Genomic DNA, 27,913 nt, shown 5'->3' with positions numbered 1-27,913 from the left:
TAAAAAATATTCATAATATTTACTTTGAGCAAGTCAAGGCATTACTATTATATGTCAATATAATCAAGGACTAACTCGGTTAAGATTTGACTTATTGTTATGTATGTAAGTATCTAAAGTGTATTGATACTGTGCCTTTTTGACCTCAGTTTTTAAAAATTCTGATTGTGGTGATGACAGCACATATCTGGAAAGATACTAAAAACCGTTTGGTTGTATGTTTTAAATGGGTGCATAGTATGGTATTTTAATTATATTTTAACAAAGCTGCTATATATTTTTTAAATAATTGATTTTAAAATGTGTGTGTCAGTCTTTTGTGTTGAATGGTTAATGCTTTCTATTTTAAAGATAAGGAACACATTTTTAAATAATTTGATTGTTTCAGTCGCTGGGTAAGTCGGAGTGCCACTGCACAGCGCAGGAAAGAACGCCTTCGCCAGCATTCTGAGCATGTTGGGCTGGACAACGACTTGAGGGAGGTATGTGGTCTACCTTCCTGGGGTGCCTCACAGCAAGCGCCATGAACTAGGCTTATTCCTTCCAGCAGATGTCATTGTGTAGATTCTTAATGTTCTTTAAAAAAAAAACTGTTTAGTTATAGTTTAAAATATTAATCCTTTTGTACGGACATATAGCAGAAAACACCCTTTTTTCCATTTTTGTAATTTCAAGACATCTATAATAAGGCTCTAAAACAAGTCTTTCTGTGTATTACATCAAGTAAAGATCAAGTTGAGGATAAATTTTTAGTTACTATGTCTCCTATAGGAGAAAAATTGTCTGCATGAGAAGCCTAGACATTTCTAAGTTTCAAGCATAATTATAAGGAGTAGTGTGATGTACTTGCCTATGCTTTGTTCTTGGCTTGCTGGCACCAGTTTTTTTTCTTGAATCTCTAAATCTACTTTATATTTTTGAAAGTGTTTTAAAACTATTTTTAAATTAAGATCCTTACACTTTTATTTGTACTCTTTGAAAATAAGACCATAATTATACAACAAGTAAGTTTTGATTTTTTTCTGTGTGAAATCTGCATATATATATAGTGTCTTGCTATGTTGCCCAGGTCTTGAACTCCTGGGCTCAAGCAGTGCTCCTGCCTCAGCCTCCCAAAGTATTGGGATTACAGGTGTGAGCTGCCATGCCCAGCCTGATTGTTTCGTTTCTTATGATCAAAAGAGAAATGCAATCAGAAGACTTGTTAACTGTTTTCTAGTATCAAATTTGTAAAAATAAAGCAGAAAACATCATCCCAAACATCTCTTGTTTTTGTTGTGTTCATACATATATGATTTTAAACATTTTATTAAGAACTGAGGCATCACCTGTGTAGTGCTTTTTTTTTTCCGGCTACTGTATTTTCTTCCCTTCCCTCTCTTTTGCTGTGATTTTATCATATGCATGCTTGTTCTGCTTGTCTCTTTCTCCCTATCCTTTTCTTTTTTGCTTTCCTGTCATTGGCATTTCTCCATCCTCTTAGCCTTCCGGGGAACTTTTGGTCTGTCAGAACTCCATGGCATTCTGGGAGTGGGACCAGGGTCCACCTCCTCCTGCACGACTTCCTAAAAAATCCTTCTCTGAGTGCTGCCTGGTATGTTCTTTGCTTGAAAGTGCTTTACCAGATGTTCCCCCAATCTTGTCTTTGGTGTTACTTGAATGTTACACATGTGTGAGTGCACATAGCTCTAGAATGCCTCACATGACCTTGAGATGTGAACTCACACTCCCCATTTTGCTCTCTGCTTCTTGTTATGTTTAGTCCCTTTCTGTGTTTGTGTGTGCTAATATGAGTAATTCTATGCTGCTGACATGTAAAACTAATCATTTGGGTCTCTAATCAGTGGGATTTTTTTTGTGTGCTAGATAGCAAATTGCCTTACTTCAAAGGGGGAAATGTATTAAATATACAAACTCCCCTTTATTTAAGCGTTTTCCAGAAGTACAGATGTGATTGAATTTCAAATAGCCTTTCTTTTGCTGGGTTTTATCTCCACAGAATTTTAATTTCCCCTTCCTGGTCTGTATTTTATGTGGTCAGAAAATTCAGTCATCAACATAGAATCTCAGTGCCAAGAGGAATCTTTAAGGTCATCTTGTCCAATTTGACATGATTAAATTGAAGTCCAAGAGATTAGCCCAGAGTTAAAAGCACACAAAGACAGAGCTGGACCTATAGCCCAAGACTCCTGACTTCTAGGCCAATATTCTTTCCATTTACCCTGCATGCCAGCTTGCACTAACCACTGTTCACTTGAGGCAACAAGCAACTTAGAAATCTTGCTTATAGTTTTCCCCCATTATGTCATACTAGCTTAAATCTATTTTACAATGGTCTTCTCTTCACAAGTTGAACACCAACTTGTAAAGGGCTAGGGCGTTTACTAGAAAATTCTGGGAGAGCCTGTATTAAAGAGCAGTTAGTTCAGTGTTTATTGAATAATAGGATATATTTTCATAGGTAGTTCCTAGTGGTTTGTTTCATTTGTCTTAAGCAGAAATAAAGAAGAGCACAGTAGTAATCTCAGAAGAAATCTGGGGTTACTTCTAGACTGTATTATAAAAGCATTTCTTGTGAAAAGTCTCTCTCCTATATTTTTCATCTTGAAATATGTTTTTTCCTCCAGATGTTATTTTTATCATCACTTGTTTATTTTAAAGGCAGTTGCTCTGTTTTTGCAATTTGCAGAGGCAGCCTCCCTTCTTGCTGTGAAGAGAGGCCTTTTGCCGCCCCCTGTATCCTTTCTGTGCATGTCCATGGAATGTTGCTATTTCTATGGCTCCAGCAGAGATGCCCAGAAGGAGACTTTGCACATGGCCCTATGGAATCCACTGTTGGCTAATAACTGTACCTGCCCCATATGTACTGGGGGCTCAGTAAATTGGTCACTCATAGGACAGCCACCGTCTAGCTTGTTTTCCTTTATATAAAACAGGACATAAACTTTAAACAGTGCTTAATTTTTTGTTTGTTTTTGAGACGGAGTCTCCCTCTGTCGCCAGGCTGGAATGCAGTGGCGTGATCTTGGCTCACTGCAACCTCCACCTCCTGATCTTCCTGCCTAGGCCTCCCAAGTAGCTGGGACTACAGGCACGTACCACGCCCACCTAATTTTTTTTTTTTTTTTTTTTTTTTTTTGTATTTTTAGTAGAGACGGGGTTTCACCATGTTGGCCAGGATGGTCTCGATCTCTTGACCTTGTGATCCTCCCACCTTGGCCTCCCAAAGTGCTGGGATTACAGGTGTGAGCAACCTTGACCAGCCGACAGTGGTTAATTTTTAATCCAGTAATTGACTTTAAAAAGTATTCAGGGGCCAGGCGCAGTGGCTTACACCTTTAATCCCAGCACTTTGGGAGGACGAGGCGGGCGGATCACTTGAGAACAAGAGTTCGAGTCCAGCCTGGCCAACATGGTGAAACCCCGCCTCTGCTAAAAATACAAAAACTAGCCGGGTGTGGTGGCATGTGCCTGTAATCCCAGCTACTCAGGAGGCTGAGGCAGGAAAATTGCTTGAACCTGGGAGGCGGAGGCTGCAGTGAGCTGAGATCATGCCGCTGCACTCCAGCCTGGGCAGCAGACCAAGACTCTGTCTCAAAAAAACAAAAACCAAACAAACAAAAAAGTATTCAGGCTGGGCGGTGGCTCACACCTATAATCCCAACAGTTTGGGAGGCTGAGGTGGGGAGATCATTTGAGATCGGGAGTTCGAGACCAGCCTGGCCAACATGGTGAAACCCCATCTGTACTGAAAATACAAAAATTAGCCAGGTGTTGTAGCACGCGCCTATAATGCCAGCTACTTGGGAGGCTGAGGCAGGAGAATCAGTTGAACCCAGGAGGTGGAGGTTACAGTGAGCCAAGATTGCACCACTGCATTACAGCCTGGGCAACAGAGTGAGACTCTGTTTTAAAACAAAAAAAACCAGGCAGGGCGTGGTGGCTTACACCTGTAATCCCAGCACTTTGGGAGGCCAAGTTGAGTGGATCACTTGAGGTCAGGAATTTGAGACCAGCCTGGCCAACATGGCGAAACCCCGTCTCTACTAAAAATATAAAAATTAGCCAGGTGTGGTGGCCAGCACCTGTAATCCTAGCTACTCGAGAGGCTGAGGCAGGAGAACTGCTTGAACCCAGGAGGCGGAGTTTGTGGTGAGCCAAGACCGAGCCACTGCACTCCAGCCTGGGTGACAGAACGAGACTTCGTCTCAAGAAAAAAAATAATAATAATAAATAAATAAAAACTAACCTTCAGACCATTTATATAGACCTTGTTACATTTGACTTCTCTGCTGGTAATGGTTGATAGATTTTAAAAATCAAATAAACTCGCTGGGCAGGGTGGCTCATGCATGTAATCCCAGCACTTTGGGAGGCCAAGGCGGGCAGATCACGAGGTCAGGAGTTTGAGACCAGCCTGACCAACATAGTGAAACCCTGTCTCTACTGAAAATACAAAAATTACAGCCGGGCGTGGTGGCTCACGCCTGTAATCTCAGCACTTTGGGAGGCCGAGGTGGGCGGATCACAGGGTCAGGAGTTTGAGACCAGCCTGACCAACATGATGAAACCCCGTCTCTTAAAAATATAAAAATTAGCCGGGCGTGGCCGGGTGCAGTGGCTCACACCTGTAATCCCAGCACTTTGGGAGGCCGAGGCGGGTGGATCACGAGGTCAGGAGATTGAGACCATCCTGGCTAACACAGTGAAACCCTGTCTCTACTAAAAATACAAAAAAATAGCCGGGTGTGGTGGCAGACGCCTGTAGTCCCAGCTACTTGGGAGGCTGAGGCAGGAGAATGGTGTGAAACCAGGAGGCGGAGCTTGCAGTGAGCCGAGATCGCGCCACTGCACTCCAGCCTGGGCGACACAGGGAGACTCCGTCTCAAAAATAAATAAATAATTAGCCGGGCATGGGATGTGCACCTGTAATCCCAGCTACTCAGGACGCTGAGGCAGGAAAATCACTTGAACCTGGAAGGCGGAGGTTGCAGTGAGCCGAGATCAAGCCATTGCACTCCAGCCTGGGTGACAGAGCGAGACTCCGTCTCAAAAAAAAATACAAAAATTAGCTGGGCATGGTGGCGCGTGCCTGTAATCCCAGCTACTCAGGAGGCTGAGGCAGGAGAATTGCTTGCACCTGGGAGGCAGAGGTAGCAGTTAGTTGAGATTGCACCACTGCTGTTCAGCCTGGGTGACAGATCGAGATTCCGTCTCAAAAAATAAAAATAAACTCTGCAGTTCTCATAACATTTATGTATACTTCTTTCTGCTGCAAACATTTTTTTTTTTTTGAGATGGAGTCTTGCTTTTGTCACCTAGGCTGGAGTGCGATGGCACGATCTTGGCTCATTGCAACGTCCGCCTCCCAGGTTCAAGCAATTCTCCTGCCTCAGCCTCCCGAGTAGCTGGGATTACAGGCACCCGCCACATTTTTGTATTTTTAGTAGAGATGGCGTTTCACCATGTTGGCCAGGCTGGTCTCGAATGCCTGGCCTCTGCTTCAAACATTTTTAAGAGGGTCAAAGAAATAAGAGAAAATTGAGAATTAGAGACAACTGTTAAAATGATTGGACTGGAAAAAAACATTATTTTGTTAATTTTGCCTTTCGTCACAAAGGTTGGGAGGTAGCAGGTAAACAGATTAGTGGAATCCCTAATCAGTGGGATTTTTTTTATTTGTACCAGACTTAGCAGATTATTTTCTTCCAAAGGAGAAATATATTAAATGTACAAACTCTCTTTTTTAAAGAATGCAAAGGATTTTACACATCTTCTTTTATAATATCAAGCTCTCCTCTGAAGATAGTAAGGATAGATTTCACATATGTGCCCGTGGGAGGATGTGCTGGCTTGCCGTCTCAGTCTCCATGCTGCCCCCCACTACCAGCCAATAAACTGCTACTTTTACTATATAATGTAGAGCAGTTATTCTCTAAATATGGTCCTAAGTCACTTGGACTTTTTGGAAAATTCTGCCCTGTGATCCTGATGTAAACATAAGGTATCCAGATGATTTTTTTTTTTTTTTGAGATGGAGTCTTGCTCAGTTGCCCAGGCTGGAGTGCAGTGACGCCATCTCCACTCACTGCAATCTCCGCCTCCCAGGTTCAAGCGATTCTTCTGCCTCAGCCTCCCGAGTAGCTGGGATTACAGACGTCCACCACCACGCGTGGCTAATTTTTGTATTTTTAGTAGAGATGGGGTTTTAACCATGTTGGCCAGGCTGGTCACGTGCTCCTGACCTCTGGTGATCCACCCACCTCGGCTTCCCAAAGTGCTGGGATTACAGACGTGAGCCACCGCCTGGCCTCTGGATGAACTTTTATAGACAGCATAGAAAGAAGAGAGAGAGCACATGTCTTGCACTAAACACATGTAGTGATTTTTTTAATAGAAATTCACTAACCAAAGCTCAAGAGCATTTGGTTAAGTTTCTGTGATACCTTAGAGTTACCACAAACCCCAAAAGTAACACTGTAATTCACTTTCTCTTGATTATAGAACAAGGCAAGGTAGGGCTTTAGCAAAAACATCACAGAAAGAGGCCACCTTCACTTGGAGCACATCGTGCTTTTCAGAGTGATCCTATAGCCTTTTGGGGAGGTAGGGGGGCATGTTTTATGCCCATTTAACAAGCTGAGATGCACAAACATTAGTTGATAACACCTGAGTCATAAAATTAGTTACAACCAGATTCGAAAGCTCCTGATTTTACTGTTGTGACTTGATTATAGAGCAAAGGGTTAGATTGGAGAGCACTGCCCAGGAGGCTAGAGGTATGTTAAGTCTTACTGTATGGGGAAAGGAGTGGAGGAAATCAGTGATCTGAGAACAGCTGGGCTCCTGCAGAACCTTGGATTTGTGATCTAAACACCTAAATTTTTTTGTCCCAACCACAGTCCTGACTTCACAACCTTTTGTATTCCCAATAAAAAGACTAAATGAAATGAAATGTCATCTCACTTTGAATGAGTTTTAACGTGATGGGGTTTCTGTCACTTTACTTCTCACAGGAGTTAACAGTTGTTATGGGGTGGCATATGAGTGTCCTCTGTCTTTTAGTACACTAAAACATTAATTGTTGTTATATGCACATACACTTACGGACTTTTTTGCATTTCATTTGTCTCTGCACTTGTTTGTATAAGGTTAAGAAGATTAGAAGAATAGCTAATGTTTACGCATTAAAAATACTCCTTGATTTTTTAGAAATATATGCAAGAGGCACGAAGTTTAGGAAAAAACCTGAGGCAACCCAAACTGTCAGACCTCTCTCCTGCAGTTATTGCACAGACCAACTGTAAATTCGTAGAAGGCTTATTAAAAGAATGTAGAATGAAGGTATGTATTATTCACTGATGCCAGACAGTGTGCATTCATGTTTACACCATGTGTGAGGCTAAGATGAACTGAGTTAACCCCCATTTAAGCATGTAATTTTGCTAGAAGAAAACTTTTACTGTGGCATTGACCTCATGTGCTCTTTACTCGGGTATTGAACCTCCATGGGTTCTTCATTCCCCACAGAATCAATGACATGAGAGCCTTCTACCATTTTTCTCACCTTTTCAGACATTGCTCTCCTCCTCACCAACATGAACGGATGTCTTAAGCCACTCATAATTTGCGTCAGGAATGTTGTCATCTTATGTGAAAGGCAACACTTTTGTGTCTGTGTATGCACCTGTGTACAACCTTATTTGTGCCTGTACATGGTTTTTGTCCCCATAAGGAAAAATACCTTAGCTGTGTTGTAGGTTTGTGTATATTGCACAACGTTCTCCTCTCAGAAACCTGTGTTTATTGGAGGTAGCAGTACAAATTGACAAAACTTAAAACATCATTTTAGCTAATGATTTTATTTATTTATTTGACAGTCATTTCTTGAGTACCTTCTCTGCATATTCAATAAATGTACTACTATTTTCAGCATCAGTATATAGTGGTGAATTAAAGTTCTTGCCTAAAAGAGCTAGATTCTCTCTCATTTTACATTTTATAAAAGCTACTAAGACTGATGCAAATTAACTTACATGAAACTGATTTCCATTTTCTTTCCATTTTTTGGTGCATGCTTGATGAACAAAGAAAAGATAAAAAAGGAGAAGTAAAGTCCTGGTTCATTCACAAATTAGAGTTCTCAAAAAATTTAGAGCTGCCCATTTGTATTCTGGTTTTTACCTAAGTGCAATCAAACTAAGTGCAAGAATCTTTAGTATGCTAAGATGCTGGGGCAGTGATAGGGCAAGTTGTGGTGGCAGGATGGGGTTCCATATTCTGACAGTACATTTTCTTTTTTTATTGTTTCTTGTTTTTTGAGACAGAGTCTCGCTCTATCACGCAGCGGGCTGGAGTGCAGTGGCATGTGATCTCAGCTCACTGCAACCTCTACCTCCTGGGTTCAAGCAATTCTTCTGCCTCAGCCTCCCAAATAACTGGGATTACAGGCGTGTGCCACTACTGCCCGGCTAACTTGTATTTTTAGTGGAGACAGGGTTTCACCATGTTGGCCAGGCTGGTCTCGAACTCCTGACCCCAGGTGATCCACTTGCCTGGGCCTCCCAAAGTGCTGGGATTACAGGTGTGAGCCACCATGCCCAGCCCTGACAGTACATTTTCTAAGTCTGCTGTAATTCCCCAATATCACAGAAGTTAATAATTTGACAACTGTTGTATATAAGCATCTTTTCAACATGGGGATGCCTTACAAATATTATCTTATATTCTCTTTAGTCACACTCCATTTTTCTGACAAAATAGTGACATATAAATTATATTAGTCCAGTTAGTTGAACATCAAGATTAAGAGATTTTTTTCCCAAGGTGATTACAAATCTGCAAATAGAAGTATAATGAAGGGAAACCAAGTCTCCTACTTTAGTAATTGACTTGTTGGTTTTTGGTTTCACTGCTGGGGTGCCTTATGACTACACGTGATATTCTTAGACAAAGCGCATGTTGGTGGAGAAGATGGGACATGAAGCGGTGGAACTTGGCCATGGAGAAGCAAACATCACCGGCCTGGAGGAGAACACCTTGATCGCCAGCCTTTGTGACCTGCTGGAGAGGATATGGAGCCATGGCTTGCAGGTCAAGCAGGTAACAGTTTTAGGAGGTCCTGGTGACATGGCCAGTTAAGAGCCCTGTTAAGAAATGTAACAAGGAGACAAATATGTCATTAAAAAAAAATAGGCTCTTTTGTCACAAGGGGACTAGAAAAATGCCACAGGCATTTTAATTTCAGAAAAAGAAAATATAACCCATGAGCAGGAGGTGGTTTGGGCTCTTTCCTGCTAAGCGGGAAAGGATGAAATAGCACATCATTGCAGAGGCTGTATCCCTAGTAAGTTCCATTAAATGTTTGCCTTTGTCACTGTCCAGAATTAACAGTTCCTTACCATTTTAAGTTATCTAATAATTCAGGGTGAAATCATTCAAATGGTCTCTTTGCTTTTGTCTCTCTAGTCTCCCTTTCTGATTTTTTTCTGATGTGTGCATGTTTCTTTCTTCTTCCCTTTTTCTCTTTCTCCTCTCACCTCGATTTTTTTCTCTTATCGCCACTCCATATATCCAAACATATTTTACATGTAGATGTACACAAGTACATTCTGTGCTGCTAGAGCATTTTAATTCCATGGTTACTAATGTAGCCCATGTAGACAGCCCTAATTACATACAACCAAGTAACAACCTAGCAGACATCAGAAATCTTCTGCCTGCCATGCTGGCCCTTTGCTTAGCTGCTTCCTTTTCCCAGGCTCTTGGTAGTCTTGTCAGTGAGGTACAGGATGACCTTTATGATACATGCAGAAGATGCTCAGAATGTCATACAACTAGGAATGAGTGAGCTTGGGTCACCAGACTTCTAAATGGCTATTGGAATATGAATGATTTGGATGAGAAATTATTTTTTGATGAATTATTTCTTATGAAATTTTTACACATCTTGTACTTTCAGGGGAAGTCGGCTTTGTGGTCACATTTAATTCAATTTCAGGACAGAGAAGAGAAACAAGAGCACCTTGCAGAATCACCAGGTATGACATCATTGGTAAAGAACTAGCAGCACTGGACTCTGAGAAGACTCAATACTATTTGGCCTTGTCTTGATCTCTTTCTCTCTCAAGCTAAAATTTACTCATTTTGCCAATAATGGGATAAAGTAGAAGGAGCAATATTACTTACTAACTGTGAGACCTGGGAAAAGTTACTTGCCCTTTCTGAAGTCCTGCTTCGTCATCTATAAAATAGGAAAAATGAGATTACCTAGGCTAGAACGGTCATGCTGATCAAATAAGGTATCATGTGAAAACCCCCAATGAATTGTAAATGGCCATACAAGGATACATTACTCTCACTAGCATTAGAATTTTTTTTTTTCTTACAAGTTTTATGCTAGGCACGGTGGCTCACACCTGTAATCCCACCACTTTAGGAGGCCAAGGTGGGCAGATCACCTGAGGTTAGGAGTTTGAGACCAGCCTGGCCAACACGGTGAAACCCCATCTCTACAAAAAATGCAAAAATTACCTGGGCGTGGTGGCAGGTGCCTGTAGTCCCAGCTACTGGGGAGGCTGAGGCAGGAGAATCGCTTGAACCCGGGAGGCAAAGGTTGCAGTGAGCCGAGAAGGCGCCACTGCACTACAGCCTGGGTGACAGAGCAAGACTCCATCTCAAAAAAAAAAAAAAAAGTTTTTATAACCATCATTAATGATCTTTCAGGGAGAAAATATGTACATATGTCTCAAAAATTTCAGGAGTTGAATCTCTCTTCAATTTATAGAAAATATAACATGTTAGAAGTGTCATAATTTTTTAGCTAATTATGTAGGATTTTTTAAGCTAAGTGTTCTACCTACTGTGTATTTTTCACAACAACACATGCTTTTCTTTATGTAAAATAACCATTTATTTCACAAAAAAGTAGAAGTAACTATGGGAAGCTAATTGAGATAAAATTGCTTTATACTGAATCAGCCATTTCGGAACCTTTTCAAAAAGTATGGATGACTTTGGACATTCAGAAATGTTTTAGATGGAGTCTCGATCTTGTCACCCAGGTTGGAGTACAGTGGTACGATCTCGGCTCACTGCAACCTCTGCCTCCCAGGTTCAAGTGATTCTCCTGCCTCAGCCTCCTGAGTAGCTGGGATTACAGGTGCATATCCCATGCCCGGCTATTTTTTTTTTTAATTTTTATTTTTGAGACACAGTCTCGCTGTGTCGCCCAGGCTGGAATGCAGTGGCGCGATCTCGGCTCACTGCAAGCTCCACCTCCCGGGTTCATGCCATTCTCCTGCCTCAGCCTCCCGAGTAGCTGGGACTACAGGTGCCCGTGAGCACGCCCAGCTATTTTTTTTTTTTTTTTTTGGATTTTTAGTAGAGACGGGGTTTCACTGTGTTAGCCAGGATGGTCTCGATTTCCTAACCTCGTGATCCACCCGCCTCGGCCTCCCAAAGTGCTGGGATTACAGGAGTGAGCCACCGTGCCTGACCTTAAAGACCCTTTTATTCATCCTAATTTCTTTTCCCTCACTGCCCCTAGAGGGCAACACTATCCTAAATGTAGTATTTATTGTTAGAAACCTAGTGTTTAAATGTATTTAATCAGACAGCTAGGAATATAAGCTGACTACATTGCCCTGGAGCTCCTGTAATCAGAATGCCAAGGTTCTGTTGTCCTTGGCTGTAACTATATTTATAAAGATTCAGATCAAGTTTAAAAGCATTCTCTAGTGTCCATCTTCTCTGCCAGTTTTTCTGTTAAAAAAATAGTAATGAGGCCAGGCATGTTGACTCAACGCCTGTAATCCCAACACTTTGGGAGGGCAAGGCAGGCGGATCACCTGAGATCAGGAGTTCAAGACCAGCCTGGTCAATATGGTGAAACCCTGTTTCTACTAAAAATTAAAAAAAATTAGCCGGGCATGGTGGTGGGCATCTGTAATCCCAGCTACTCAGGAGACTGAGTCAGGAGAATCGCTTGAACCTGGGAGGCAGAGGTTGCAGTGAGCCAAGATTGCGCCACTGCATGCCAGCCTGGGCAACAGAGCAAGACTCCTTCTCAGAAAAGATGTATATTTATAGGAATATGAAATATGTATTAAAACATCAGTTTAAATTGAAATCTCTCATTCTTAAGTAATAAGTTGTAATTATGCAAAAATTAAGTTTTTAAAATCTGGTTTTCCACCAAATACTTTTTTTGCCAATTATTAAGCTTCCTAATGAATGGCAATAAACAGTCTGCATTGTCATATTTAGGAAAGATCCTTAAAGATTTATGATGGGCTGGGCACGGTGGCTCATGCCTGTAATCCTAGCACTTTGGGAGGCCTAGGTGGATGGGTCACTTGAGATCAAGAGTTGGAGACCAGCCTGGCCAACATGATGAAACCCACTCTCTACTAAAAATACAAAAATTAGCCAGGCATGGGTGGCAGGTGTCTGTAATCCCAGCTACTCAGGAGGGTGAAGCAGGTGAATCGCTTGAACCTGGAAGATGGAGGTTGCATTGAGCCAAGACTGCTCCGCTGTACTCCAGCCTGGGCAATGAAGTGAGACTCCATGTCAAAAACAAAAAAAAATTTTGATGGGTTTGAACATTATTCTTACTAGCACTGAATCATGATGAGACTAGATGCTGGATTATTATCATGAGTCTTCAGAAGCAGCACTAAACAGGAGTCAGAGACATTTTAAGAGTTGCAGAGGAATGGAAAGATAGGGACCATAGTGGGTAGGCAGTATTAATTTTGATCTAGTGATCACTGCACCTAGTAGTTTGAAATCCTATTTCAGAGAAAGAAGTTCAGAATACAATTGGTCCTAGAACAAAGACTGTTCTTGACATATCACTCAAAAGTTTTAACCTTTAAATTCGTTGGGAGGACTGAGTGTGGTGGCTCATGCCTGTAATTCCAGCACTGTGGGAGCTCAAGGAGGACAAATTACTTGAGGCCAGAAGTTCAACACCAGCCTGGCCAACATGGTGAAACCCCGTCTCTACTAAAAATATAAAAGTCAGCCAGGTATGGTGGTGCACACCTGTAATCCCAACTATTCAGGAGGCTGAGGCATGAGTATCTCTTGAACCCAGGAGGCAGAGGTTGCAGTGAGCCAAGATCACGCCATTGCACTCCAGCTTGGGCAACAGAGCAAGATGCTGTCTCAAAAAAAAAAAAAAAATTGTTGGGAGGCTGGATATGGTGACCCAGTTCTGTAATCCCAACACTTTGGGAGGCCAAGGTGGAAGGATCACTTGAGCCCAGGAGTTTGAGACCAGCTGAGGTAACATAGTGAGACCCAGTCTCTACAAAAAAAATTTATTTTTCTTAATTAGCCAGGTATAGTGACACATGCTTGTGGTCCCAGATGCTTGGGAGGCTGAGGTGGGAGGATCACTTGAGCCCAGGGGGTTGAGGCTACAGTGAGTGCTGTGATCCCACCACTGCACTCTAGCTTGGGTGACAGAGCAAGACCCTGTCTCCAAAAAATAATAATAATAAATAAAAACGTTGAGCCAGTTCTTAAACTTTGCACCTTCAGACAAGGTTCTACTAAACTGGAAATGGATTTTGGCAGGGGGTAGGTGTAGAGCCCTTCCACTGAAGGGAGTGGAAATGCTGCCTTTTTTCCTTTTTTTTTTTTTTTTTTTTCTGAGATGGAGTTTCGCTCTTGTTGCCCAGGCTAGAGTGCAATGGCGCAGTCTTGGCTCACTGCAACCTCCACTTCCTGGGTTCAAGCGATTCTCCTGCCTCAGCCTCCTGAATAGCTGGGATTACAGGCGTGTGCCACCACACCTGGTGAATTTTTCTATTTTTAGTAGAAACAGAGTTCACCATGTTGGCCAGGCTGGTCTCAAACTCCTGACCTCAGGTGATCCACCCGCCTCAGCCTCCCAAAGTGCTGGGATTACAGGTGTAAGCCACTGTGCCTGGCCAGAAATGCTGCTTTTAAGTGGTTATTCTGGATCTAACCCAGGAATTTTGAGTCACTCTTCATCTTATCTTCATCAGAAATTATCTATTAATTACTTACCTACCTATAGACTGTACATGGTACTGTAGAAACATACAGTCCCTGCCCTCTACAAACGTGCTGTCTGTGCTACATTTATAAAATTCACCACTCCAAATAGAAAATAAATAAAATGTTTAACTTGTGTTCATTCTTTTTTTTTTTTTGGAGATGGAGTTTCGCTCGCTCTTGTTGCCAAGACTGGATGCAATGGCATGATTTCGGCCCACTGCAACCTCCCGAGTTCAAGAGATTCTCCTGCCTCTGCCTCCCAAGTAACTGGAATTACAGGCATGCGCCACCACATCTGGCTATTTTTGTAGTTTGATTCAGGCAGATGAGCAAATTCTCGTAGCCAAGAATTAAATCCATGAATCTTTATTTTGAAGGAGAAAGTGGCCTATTGTTTGAGTATTTTCAATTAAGAAATAGTAATGGAAGTATACATTTACATAGTTTATAAAATTCTCTTCTAGCTGGAGTAGGATTCATGGAAACCTTCTTAGATTTTAGGTCTCTAGATAAAAGAAGTGGTTCCATTTCCTAACCCCTAATTTGCCCTCTGCTCACAGGCTTTTAAACTCTTCTCTCCAGAGTCACTAATAAATTACTGCATTCATTTCCTAGGGCTGCCATAATAGAGTACCACAAACTGTGTGGTTTAAACAACAGGAATTGCCAGGCACACTGGCTCGCACATGTAATTCCAGCACTTTAGGAGGCCAAGGTGGGAGGATTCCTTGAGCCAGGCGTTTGAGACCAGCCTGGGCAACATAGTGAGACCCCCATCTCTATTATTTAAAATGAAGTTTCTCACTTGTTCTCTAGTTTAAGAGGCATGATTACTTCTGGTTGTCGTGTCTCCCTCTAGCCAACTTGTTAATTATGGTTTCAACTCCCCTTTTTTCCTCTGTCAACCTATTTCTTACCGCCTGTGTGGCCATCTTTCATTCTGTCTAATCATCTGGAGTGTAGAGGCCTTCTCTGAGCCATCTCACTTTGTCCTCAAAAAGAAAGCTGTGGCCGGGTGTGATGGCTCATGCCTATAATCCCAGCACTTTGGGAGGCCGAGGCAGGCAGATCGCTTGAGTCCAAGAGTTTGAGTCCAGCCTGGGCAACATAAACATAGAGACAAAACCCCGTCTCTACAAAAAAAAAACACACAAAAATTAGCCAGGTGTGGTGGCATGCACCTGTAATCCCAGCTATCAAGAAGCTGAGGTTGGAGGATCGCTTAGCCCGGAGGTGGAGGCTGCAGTGAGCCGAGATCATGCCACTGCACTCCAGCCTGGGCGACAAGAGTGAGACCCTATCTCAAAAAAAAAAAAAAAAGAAAAGAAAAAAAGATATGCTTTCTTTAATAACATGTAACACATTCCCTGCAAGTCTGGAACAATTTCTTCAGCATTTATTACCTCTTGGGTGTCAAGATGAATGGGTCTAGTGCCCCATTGAAACTCCCTCCCAAAATCGCCACAACAAATGTCCTATTTATCATCCACATGGTATGGAAGGCCCTTGAAAGTAGTGCTTTTAGATTGGACTGGCCACAACCTCTTCCTTCTGGCAACCCCATCAGTACTCATTTATACCTGCTAGTGTCAAAAGCATAGGGATCCGAATACACCAAAATGTTCCCTATCTTCCTTTAGTGCCAACTTCATATATATTTATGTGTTTTGGTATTGTATCCCAGCCCCCCAAAGTAGAATGAATCTAAAACCTGAGAAAATGGCAGGTTTAATATACAGCAAAAATTCACATTCTAAGTTCTACTTATATAGGTGTATTTGCTGAGTATGATGTTGGAATTTCATTTTTATTTATAGATGGGAAGATAGAAATGAAAGGCCTAAACTCCATGGCATCTCATTGAGCACGAGACCAAACACTGCAACTACAATATATTAGCCAATAGATGTTTGCTTAGCCGTTGCTATATGAGAATAATCTTTCTTCTTTCATACATAAGAGACAAAACCCCGTCTCTACAAAAAATACAAAAATTAGCCAGGTGTGGTGGCACGCACCTGTAATCCCATAATTGTTAGCTTTCATAAATGTTAGCTATTCTTAAATAAATGTTAGCTATTCAGGCTTCATAAGAGAATACTCATGGACATTATACTTAGTGTCTATTTAGATTACTCACTTTGCATGCTGTAATTACTGTAGTTTGGACTCTGAACTTTAAGGTAGAAACTTATCAGATTGAAGAGTCCGAAATCTTAGATTTTTTTTTTTTTTTTTTTTTTTTTGAGACAGAGTCTTGCTCTGTCACCCAGGCTGGAGTGCAGTGGCATGATCTTGGCTCACTGCAAACTCTGCATCCCGGGTTCATGCCATTGTCTTGCCTCAGCCTCCCGAGTAGCTGGGACTACAGGCGCCCACCACCACGCCCAGCTAATTTTTTGTATTTTTTAGTAGAGATGGGGTTTCACCGTGTTAGCCAGGGTGGTCTCGATCTCCTGACCTCATGATCCGCCCGCCTCGGCCTCCCAAAGTGCTGGGATTACAGGTGTGAGCCACAGCGCCTGGCCTTTTTTTTTTTTTTTCAGAGACAGTCTCATTCTGTTGCCCAGGCTGGAGTGCAGTGGTGGGCTCAGATGATCCTCCCAACCTCAGCCTCCCAAGCAACTGGTGCTACAGGTGAACACCACCATGCTCAGCTGATTTAAAAAAAAAAAAAAAAGCTAATTAAAAAAAAAAAGACATATATATATTTAGCTTCCCATTGTCCAAACCCATATAATTATTTGCAAAAACGGGGTCTTTCTGTGTAGTCCAGGCTGGTCTCCCTATGTTTCCCAGGCTGGTCTTGAACTCCTGGGCTCAAGTAATCCTCCTGCCTTGGCCTCCCAAAGTGTTGGGATTACAGGAGTGAGCCACCGTACACAGCTTAGATTTTTTTTCAAACACTCAAGAGTTTAATTGTGTGACTTCAGTTCATGAGCCCAGAGATGTTTCACATTTTTTAGTAGCTTAATTTATATACATTGCTTTCATGTGTAATTATCTAGAGCTATTAGAACAAGTAACTAGAAAGTAACTGGCCAGGCATGGTGGCTAACACCTGTAATCCCAGCACTTTGGGAGGCCAAGGCGGGCAGATCACTTGAGTTAAGGAGTTCGAGACCAGCTGGCCAACATGGTGAAACCCCGTCTCTACTAAAAAATACAAAAATTAGCTGGGCGTGGTGGCGCACTCCTGTAGTCCCAGCTACTCGGGAGGCTGAGGCATGAGAATTGCTTGAACTCAGGAGGCGGAGGTTGCAGTGAGCCAAGATCACGCCACTGCACTTCAGCCTGGCAACAGAGCAACAGAGCAAGACTATATTTAAAAAAAAAAATACAAAAAAAAGTGCCTGGTCCTTATGGCCAAAATTTGTACACATTGCATTGTTTGCTAGGTAGTCTTTTGTGATTCATTTAAAATTTCCAAAAGCAGTTCCAGATTACATAGAAAGAAAATAGCTGGGTCTGGGCACGGTGGCTCACGCTTGTAATTCCAGCACTTTGGGAGGCCGAGGCAGGCGGATCACCTCAGATCGGGAGTTCAAGACCAGCCTGACCAACATGGAGAAACCCTGTCTCTCCTAAAAATACAAAAAATTAGCCAGGTGTGGTGGTGCATGCCTGTAATCCCAGCTACTCGGGAGACTGAGGCGGGAGAATGGCTTGGACCTGGGAGGTGGAGGTTGCGGTGAGCTGAGATCGTGCCATTGCACTCCAGCCTAGAGAACAAGAGCGAAACTCCATCTCAAAAAAAAAAGAAAAGAAAATAGCTGATTTACTGTGTTAATAATATAGCCCAGCCTGGGCAACATAGGGAGACCCCGTCTCTACAAAAAATTTTAAAAATGAGCCATGTGTGGTGGTGCACACCTGTAATCCCAGTTACTCTGGACAGGGCTAAGTTGGGAGGATCGCTTGAGCCCAGGAGGTTGAGGCTGCAGTGAGCCACGATCATGCCACTGCAAACTGCACTCCAAGCTCAGTGACAGAGCAAGACCCTATTTTCTTTAAAATTTGTTTTTTGACATTTTGGGCTAGATGATATATATTGTTAAAATTTGTTCTTATCGAAGCAGTTTCAAAGTATTTAATATGAACCATGTATATTTTTTATTACTTTTCTAATATTTTGTTGATATTTTTCTACATAGTTGCCCTCGGACCAGAAAGAAGAAAATCTGACTCAGGAGTTATGTTGCCAACGCTCAGGGTCTCTCTTATTCAGGACATGAGGTATTTGTTATTAATACATGTGTTAGCATGTGGTGATAACTTTGAAGTATTTTGTGGCTTTTAACTAAATTGCTCAAATGATTATGGCTGTGTTTATTTTTGGCTTATGTATTCTGAAGAAAGCATTTTTTATGATTTCATTTATCTTATTTTTATACCATTGTAGTGTTTCCTGACATTAAATCCAAATGGAAGATGCAGCTGAGAAGAGTTTTAAAGCATCTCTAAATTTTTTTATTTTATTTTACTTTTGCGACAGGGTCTTGCTTTGTCACCCAGGCTGGAATTCGGTGGTGCAATCACCACTCCCTGCAGCCTCAACTTCCCAGGCTCAAGCAATCCTTCTGCCTCAGCCTCCCAAGTCGCTAGAATTACAGGCACCTGCCACCATACCCAGCTAATTTTTTTGATTTTTAGTAGAGACAGGGGCTTTTTTTTTTTTTTTGAGATGGCGTCTCATTCTGTTGCCCAGGCTGGAGTGCAGTGTCGTGATCTCAGCTCACTGCAACCTCTGTCTCCCGGGTTCAAGCAATTCTTCTGCCTCAGCCTCCTGAGTAGCACAGGCATGCGCCACCATTCCTGGCGAATTTTTTGTATTTTTAGTAGCGACAGGGTTTTACCATGTTAGCCAGGATGGTCTCGATCTGACCTCATGATCCACCTGCCTCAGCCGTCCAAAGTGCTGGGATTACAGGCGCGAGCCACTGTGCCCGGCCGAGATGGGGTCTTAAATTGCCCAGGCTGGCCTCAAACTCCTGGGCTCAAGTGATTCTCCCGCCTCGGCCTCCCAAAGGGCTGGGATTACAGACGTGAGCCATTGTGCCCGTCCTAAACTATTTTATAGCTTCTTTTGTTCAGTTTTTAAAACTCCCTTAAACACCTCTGCCCACCGAAGAAGGTACAGAAGAAAAATTCTGCAAATAATGGCAGGATATGTGGCAGAACAATTGCAATCAGGTAGATTTAGTTTGAAGCAAATACATATCTGAGAATCATCACTTGGAATTACTGTTAAGAAATCTTTAGAAGACTTCAAGATATCTAACACAGATTTATTGAATGAGGAAGGCAGAGGCTTTTATCTTTTAAATATTTTAGGTACAATACTTAGTCAACTCTTACAATGTATGGGTTTAAAGCAGTGTCATAAGATCCAAGTGCAGTGGGTCATGCACTTTGGGAGGCTGAGGGAAGAGGATCATTTGAGACCAAGAGATTGAGACCAGCCTGGGCAACATAGCAAGACCCTGTATTTTAAAATATTTAAAATAATTAAACAATTAAAGATTATCAATGCAGTCTGGCTTATTTTCTCTAATGCCATAGAAAGTAAGATTTCATATTTTCCATATGTTGTCCAGTGCAACTTGAAAAGTAATTCAGTGGATTAAAGTTGTGACTGATATTTAATTATGCTATAGAACAGTTATTTTGAAAAGAAACTTGAGTATTCACCCTGTTTCATTACTTTTTTTGGAGCATCAGGAATAACCAAATTCTTATTTACAGATATCTATGAGTCTGCCACAAGGACATAATAAAGCCTGAAAGAGTGAATAAGTGTTAAATGCTTTATCTTACCACATTGTCCGTGTGCTTGTGTTGTAATGGCAATTATGATGTGAGACTAACTTCATGATTCAGATGGAACCTTCAAAGATTTAATCAACATCAATTGTATATTATCCATTGCTCCCTTTAAGTATAAACCTTTCTGTGCCCAGTACTGTTCACTCTTTACTTCTTTTCTAGTCAGGGTTATCCTTAAAATCTACATCTTTGCTGTTGCCACTATTCTTTAGGCATATTCAAAACATGAGTGAGATCAAGACTGATGTTGGACGAGCTCGGGCGTGGATAAGACTGTCTCTAGAAAAGAAGCTCTTGTCCCAGCATCTTAAGCAGTTGCTTTCTAACCAACCACTCACCAAGTAAGATACCATCTTTGATACATTTCTGTTTCTATAATCCATGTGCATACAAAACAAGTTGCATAAACTGACAAACTGGCTTCTTCAGTATGAAGTGCTGTATCCTGTGCACATGCATTCTTCTTTATCTAACAGGCGTGTGCTTTGAAAACTGTTTTGATGTAATACTTGATCGTTTTGGGGGGACACACCAAATTTAACAGCCAAAGGCCAGATTGCAGTTGGGCATGGTGGCCATTGCCTGTAATCCTAACATTTTGGGAGGCCAAGGTGGGAGGATCACTTGAGTCCAGGAATTCAAGACCAGCCTGGGTAACATGGTGAAACCCCGTCTCTACAAAAAATAAGTTAGCAGGGCATGGTGCCGCACACCTGTAGTCATGGCTATTCAGGAGGCTGAGGCAGGAGAATCACTTGAACTTGGGAGGTGGAGGTTGCAGTGAGCTGAGATCATGTCACTGCGCTCCAGTCTGGGCGACAGTGCAAGACCATCTCAAAAAAAAAAGGCCGGATTGCTCTGCCAGAATCAGGCAAAAAGCTGGCTAGTTCACACAAGCTGACAGTAACATCCAAAAGATCGGATGAATTTATATAAACCTTATATTATTTTGTATAAACCTTATATTGTAAAACCTGTATACAGGTTGTATACAGATAAAACCTGGAGTAAAAAAAGAAAGAAATAATAAAGTTCTGTGAGGAGGTCCCAGTAAAGGGCTTCTTCTGAGAGCCTTGCATTCACTAGTTTAGGGCAAGGGTTCCCAGCCCTTGGGCCATGGACCAGTACTGGTCTGTGGTCTGTTAGGAACCAGGGCTGCACAGCAGGAGATGAGCCGAGGGCAAGCAAGCATTACCGCCTAAGCTCCGCCTCCTGTCAGATCAGCAGCATTAGATTCTCAAAGGAGCATAAACCCTATTGTGAACTGCGCATGTGAGGGATCTAGGTTATGTGCTCCTTATGAGACTCTAATGACTGATGATATGAGGTGCAACAATTTTATTCTGAATCCACCTCCCCCTCCCCAGCCCCTGCGACAGCCATGGGAACATTATCTTCCATGAAACAGGTCCCTGGCGCCAAAAAGGTTGGGAACCACTGGTTTAGAGCCGGGAAACCAGTCAAGTACATGTCAATTAATTGTTAACTTTTAATTTCTTCTGTTTACTCTATCAAGAAACCCTCTTCGAGGTCAGGTGCAGTGGCTCACACCTGTAATCCCAACACTTTGGGAGGCCAAGGTGGGCAGATCACTTGAGGTCAGGAGTTCGAGACCAGCCTGGCCAACATGGCACAACCCTGTCTCTACAAAAAATAAAAAAATTAACCGGGCATGGTGGCAGGCACCTGTAATCCCAGCTACTTGGAGGCTGAATCAGGAGAATCATTTGAGCCAGTATTGGGCCACTGCACTCCAGCTTGGGCAACAGAGCGAGACCCTGTCTCAAAAAACAAAAACAAAAAAAAGAAGCTGTCTTGGATGAAATATATTGCCCTTATATTTACATTAGTGCTAATTTGAAGGCTAAGGACTTTGACTTCTAAGGAGCAAAGTTAGGCAGAGAATTCAACAAAGACCTCAAACAAGATAGCCTATTAGAGTTCCAGTGCTTTTTGTAGTTTTGTATTTGTATATATCACACTTGGATTACATACCCCCTGGAGCATTTTCAGATGAGTTTTAATGTCCAAACAGTAGGTTTGATAAAGCATGAAGTGTTGCATATAGCCTGTGAATCTGACCTTGTTTTCTTAAAACTGGCGTGGTTTTTTTTTCCAATTACAAAAAGTTATTGGCTGGGCGCAGTGGCTCACACCTGTAATCCCAGCACTTTGGGAGGCCGAGGCAGGCAGATCATGAGGTCAGGAGATCGAGACCATCCTGGCTAACATGGTGAAACCCCGTCTCTACTAAAAATACAAAAATTAGCTGGGTGTCGTGGCGCATGCCTATAATCCCAGCTACTTGGGAGGCAGAGGCAGGAGAATCACTTGAACCCAGGAGGCGGAAGTTGCAGTGAGCCGAGATCGCGCCACTGCACTCCATCCAGCCTGGTAACAAAGCGAGACTCTGTCTCAAAAAAAAAAAAAAAAAAAAAAAGGCCGGGCGTGTTGGCTCATGGCTGTAATCCTACAGTTTGGGAGGCCGAGGCGGGTGGATCACCAGAGATCAGGAGTTCGAGACTAGCCTGACCAACGTAGAGAAACCCCATCTCTACTAAAAATACAAAATTAGCCAGGCGTGGTGGCACATGCCTGTAATCCCAGCTACTTGGAGGCTGAGGCAGGAGAATCGCTTGAGCCTGGGAGACGAGAGGTTGCGGTGAGCCAAGATCGTGCCATTGCACTCTAGCCTGGGCAATAAGAGCAAAACTGTCTCAAAAAAAAAAAAAAAAAGTGATTTATGCTCATAGTGGCCAAAGTACAAAGAGGAAAATGATAATCACTTACAATCCTGCTATATAAAGAACACTAAGTATTTCACATTTTCTTCTGTACTTTTCTTCTATGCATGTTCTCTTATTAAGATACACTATATGTGCGATTCAATATCATCCTTTTTATTAGCTTAACAGTGTACCATAAACATTTCACCGTATCAGAAGAGTTTAAAATCTGAAGTCTGAATGCTTGTGTTCAAATATTGCCTTCTCTAGTTAGTGTTTGAATGACCTCGGACAAAATATTTAACTTTCCTGTATCTCTCTTTTCCCCATCTGTAAAATGACACTAGGCTGGGTGTGGTGGCTCACTCCTGTAATCCCAGCACTTTGAGAGGCCAAAGTGGGAGGATTGCTTGAGCCTGGGAGTTCAAGACCAGCCTGGGCAATATAGTGAGACCCCATCTCTACTAAAAATAAAAAATTAGTTGAGTGTGGTAGCGTGCACCTGTGGTCCCAGCAGCTTGGGAGGCTGAGGTGGGAGGCACACTCAAGCCCAGGAGGTCAAGGCTGCAGCGAGCTGTTACTGCATCGCTGCACTCCAGCAACCTGGGTTATAGAACGAGACCTCATCTCAAGAAAAATAAATAAATAAATAAATAATAAAAAGGCACTAATAGACTTACCTCATAGAGTGAGAATTAAATGTATTAATACCTATAAAACACTTGGGAAAGTGCTTAAATGTAAGTGTTTAATGAAATCTTTGCCCCATTTCATCTGTTTCTTTAGGACTGAATCCTAAAAGTAAAATTGATGAGTCAAGGGGTATGATTGGTTTAAAGTAATTGTTACCTGAATTGCTTTCCTGAAATTTTCAGTCTCACCAACTGTGAGAATGGCATTCATTTCTTCCTTGTCAACACTGGTCATCACTTTTAAGTCTTTATTAGTTTGATAGATAAAATAGATGCATTTTTTCCTTAATTATTAGGTTAAAAGTGTTTTATTAACTGTTTATATATCCATTTTTATGAATTGAAATAGAATGAATCTATTTTTTCAAGATTAAAGGTGTTTGTCTAAGAGGAGCTATTTATTTTTAGTCAAGGCTTAATGAGGGCCAGCCCCAGTGGCTCATGCCTATAATCCCAACATTTTGGGAGACTGAGGCAGGAGGATTTCTTGAGTCCAAGAGTTCAAGACCAGCCTGGGCAATATAGCGAGACCCCATCCTGGAAAAAAGACATAATGGGAAAGAAACAAAAGAAAAAAAATGGCCGGGCATGGTGGCTCATGCCTGTAATCCCAGCACTTTGGGAGGCCGAGGCAGATGGATCACCTGAGGTCAGGAGTTGGAGACCAGCCTGGCCAACATGGTGAAACCCCATCCCTACTAAAAATACAAAAATTAGCCTGGCGTGGTGGCACATGCCTGTAATCCCAGCTACTCATGAGGCTGAGGCAGGAGAATCACTTGAACCCAGGAGGCAGAGTTTGCAGTGAGCTGAGATTGCACCATTGCACTCCAGCCTGGGCAACAAGAGAGAAACTCTGTTTAAAAAAAAAAAAAAAAAAAAAAGACATAATGAAAAGTACATGATACTACTGTCTTGGTTTTTTTTTTTTTTCTTTGATACTACTGTCTTGTGCTTGTCTTACCCTTTCCTAGGAAGCTTTATAAGCGATATGCTTTTCTACGTTGCGAAGAAGAAAGAGAGCAGTTTCTTTACCACCTTCTTTCTCTCAATGCTGTGGACTATTTCTGCTTCACCAGTGTGTTCACCACTATCAGTAAGTCTAGAGAATTGACCGTTAAGGGTTACTGAGGTGACCAATGCAATAAAAGCATTTATATTTTTTAAAGCAAGATATGCCATAGTACATGTGACATTGTGACATACGCCCAGGTCTCTGTTTAGGAGTAAAGGATATTCCCCAAATGCTAAGAGTGCTACAGGAAACCCTTGGCTGTCAGGCTTTAGAGAACGCCTTACTGAAGAAAAGTACCTCACTGGAGATGATACCTTCTGTCAGTTCCAGCCAGCATCCCATGACTGAACAAAGGGCTGTCCCGGAGCTCACCATGGGGGTTAGATAGATGAGGATTTCATTGAGACTGCATCGAAGCTTAACATCTTGCTTAACCAATCCTGCTTTCCTTCTCACATGTTGGTCCCAGGAGCAGCATTGTCCATGCTAATTTCTGACTCAGAGATTTCTTCCCAAGAAACCCAGTCTTTGATAGGAAATGTTACCTACAATAGATGAGAAAAGGAATGTTTTATTAAGTAAATATTTCAATATCTTAACGAAAACACATAAAATCAAAGTATCTGTGTGTTAATAATAAACTTATGCAATTGGACATCATTCAACTTTGGAAGGAAATGCTGATTGGAGAATTTTTTTTTTTTTTTTTTTTTTTTTTTGATAGAGTCTCACTCCATCACCCAGGCTGGAGTGCAGTGGCACGATCTCAGCTCACCGCAGCCTCCACCTCCTGGGTTCAAGGAATTCTTGTGCCTCAGCCTCCTGAGTAGCTGGAATTACAGGCACGCCCCACCACACCCGGCTAATTTTTGTATTTTTAGTAGAGATGGGGTTTCACCATGTTGGCCAGGCTGGTCTCGAACTCCTGACCTCAAGTGACCCACCTGCCTCAGCCTCCCAAAGTGCTGGGATTACAGGCATGAGCCACCACGCTGGACCTGGAGATTTTGTTGTTTTTGTTGTTGTTATTGTTTTTGGTTTTTTTGAGATGGTGTCTGGCTCTGTCACCTAGGCTGGAGTGCAGTGGTGGAATCTCAGCTCACTGCAACCTCCGTCCCCTGGGATCAAGCGATTCTCCTGCCTTAGCCTCCCAAATCACACATCTGTATATAGGCATATGTCACCATGCCCGGCTAATTTTTGTGTTTTTAGTGGAGACAGGGTTTCACCATGTTGGCCAGGCTGGTCTCAAACTCCTGACCTCAGGTGATCCATCCGCCTCAACCTCCCAATGTGCTAGGATTACAGGTGTGAGCCACTGAGCCTGTCCAAGAGATGTATTTTTTATAGAAAGCCGAATGATAGCATTTATTCTTTCCTTCATTGCTAATTCTTATTTGCAGTGGGTCCTCTTCCTTACTTTGGAGAATTTTTACTTGTATCAATTAGGAATTGCATTTAGCTGCAAGTATCAGAAACTTGAAAACCAGTGGTTTACAGCATAGTAATTTCACTTACATAATAAAGGTCTCAAAGTAGGCAGTGGGCAGTGCTGTCACGGACCCAGGCTCATTGTCTTTTTCCTGTTAGACATGCTCTGTGTGTGCTAGTTACCTCATGGTTTCAACATGGCTGTTCTCAGCATACCTTCCAGCAGGAAGGAGAGAGTGCCAAGGAGGGGCAGGATCTGTGCTAGAAAGACATAATTTTCCAAAAAATCTCAATAAATATCACTAACATTTCACTGGCCAGAATTGTGTAGGTTTTGGCTTTCCAGTCTCTGGTAACGGAAGACAAAGGAAAAGGGAATTGGAATGGGGATTAGGCCATCCTGTAATGCCTGTCAAGTTACTATTCGTTGATTAGGTTACTGCAGGTGTAAGAAACTAAAAAGTTATATACAGTTTTAAAATTGGGCCGGGCGCGGTGGCTCAAGCCTGTAATCCCAGCGCTTTGGGAGGCCAAGGCAGTTGGATCACAAGGGCAGGGGTTAGAGACCAGCCTGACCAACATGGTGAAACCCCGTCTCTACTAAAAATACAAAAATTAGCTGGGTGTGGTGGTGGGCGCCTGTAATCCCAGCTACTCAGGAGGCTGAGGTAGGAGAATTGCTTGAACCCGGGAGGCGGAGGTTGCAGTCAGCCGAGATTGCGCCACTGCACTCCAGCCTGGGCGACAGAGCGAGACTCCGTCTCAAAATAAATAAATAAATAAATTAATTAATTAATTTAATTAAATCGAAGAGGCCAGGCACAGTGGCTCACACCTGTAATGCCAGCACCTTGGGAGGCCAAGGCGGGTGGATCACATGAGGTCAGGAGTTCGAGACTGACGTGGCCAACATGGTGAAACCTCATCTCTACCAAAAAATACAAAAATTAGCCGGACGTGGTGGCGCTTGCTTTAGTCCCACCTACTCAGGAGGCTGATGTGGGAGAATCACTTGAACCCGGGAGGCAGAGGTTGCAGTGAGCCAAGATCACACCACTGCCCTCCAGCCTGGGTGACAGGTTGAGACTGTCTCTAAATAAGTAAGAAGTAGTAGCAGTAGAGGATTCCTAAAATCCTCCTTATATCTGTAGATTTCTCTTCATCTGAGTAACTCTTTCAATTTGAGGAATTCTTCATGAAAGAAATTTTTAAATTTAATCATATTGCTTTTTCATACTTAAACTATGAAATCACTGTTGTGCATCTGTGGGCCTTTTGCAGCCACAGAACTGCTGACCCTAAACATGCCTTTTTCTGCAGATTTTCTTAGCAGTGCAAGAAATGAGAAAAGCCTCTGGCACCTAAAATAAAGTCTTAACACTAACCTCTTCTGCTTTCAGTTTCAAAACCCATTTGATTCTGATGATTACTAAACCGTGAATATATGGCCTTTTCTCTGACATTTTCCTATCCTAAAGCCAAAATAAAAGGACACAAAGGGAGACTCTTCACCTAACATAAAGAAAGTCTTTTATGTAAAATTAGGGAAATGAACCATTTATCTCATTTGTTTTCCTCATCTAAGAGTGCACTGAACCATGAGCTCATATTGTGAGGCTATATCTAGGCACCTTCTTTAGTAAATGTTTTTCATCCTACTTGTAGATCTTTCACGGAGGGCTTCTAACACCCCCTCTTATGATCAAATGGGCAGAAATCCCAAGGATAACAACAAATATTGATTCTACCCTACTTAAAAAAAAAAATGGCTGGGCATGGTGGCTCACACCTGTAATCCTAGCACTTTTGGAGGCCGAGGTGGCGGATCACCTGAGGTCAGGAGGTCAAGACCAGCCTGGCCAACATGGGGAAACCCTGTCTCTACTAAAAGTACAAAAATTAGCTGGGCATGGTGGGCGCACACCTGTAATCCCAGCTACTCCAGAGACTGAGGTAGGAGAATCGCTTGAACCCGGGAGGCGGAGGTTGCAGTGAGCTGAAATCGCCCCACTGCACTCGAGCCTGGGCATCAGAACAAGACTTCTTCTCAAAAAATAAATAAATAGTGGCCAGGTGCGATGGCTCACACCTGTAATCCCAGCACTTTGGGAGGCCTTGGTGGGTGAATCACGTGGTCAGGAGTTCAAGACCAGCCTGGCCAAGATGATAAAACCCCGTCTCTGCTAAAA

At 42.4% G+C, this 27,913-nt stretch overlaps 1 protein-coding gene across 24 annotated transcripts in view, besides 1 other annotated feature; it reads left to right on the top strand.

Annotated features, from left to right (window-relative positions):
- The window catches only part of DENND5B (DENN domain containing 5B), a 208,911-nt gene that overhangs the window by 157,500 nt on the left and 23,498 nt on the right, over window positions 1-27,913 (top strand). For 12 of the 24 annotated variants that reach the window (XM_047428429.1, XM_047428430.1, XM_047428421.1 and 9 more), the window contains 7 exons: window positions 389-482; window positions 7,213-7,344; window positions 8,950-9,102; window positions 9,962-10,040; window positions 18,189-18,270; window positions 20,073-20,201; window positions 24,253-24,374. In XM_047428429.1, coding sequence (XP_047284385.1) covers window positions 389-482; window positions 7,213-7,344; window positions 8,950-9,102; window positions 9,962-10,040; window positions 18,189-18,270; window positions 20,073-20,201; window positions 24,253-24,374 — 791 coding nt within the window. Of the gene's footprint in view, window positions 1-388; window positions 1,261-1,483; window positions 1,595-7,212; window positions 7,345-8,949; window positions 9,103-9,961; window positions 10,041-18,188; window positions 18,271-20,072; window positions 20,202-24,252; window positions 24,375-27,913 lie in introns of those variants that run through there. The other 12 variants (XM_047428424.1, XM_005253327.4, XM_005253330.4 and 9 more) reach the window with 2 other exon arrangements.
- Window positions 27,337-27,506: an enhancer, noted in NCBI's record as "active region_6165". NCBI's record gives its function as "activates an Ori minimal core promoter by ATAC-STARR-seq in GM12878 lymphoblastoid cells {active_cell/tissue: GM12878}" and the evidence as "EXISTENCE:reporter gene assay evidence [ECO:0000049][PMID:35858748]".

Source organism: Homo sapiens, chromosome 12 (assembly GCF_000001405.40).
Source record: "Homo sapiens chromosome 12, GRCh38.p14 Primary Assembly".
Lineage (NCBI taxonomy): Eukaryota > Metazoa > Chordata > Mammalia > Primates > Hominidae > Homo > Homo sapiens.
This window is presented reverse-complemented; position numbering and strand designations above follow the sequence as displayed.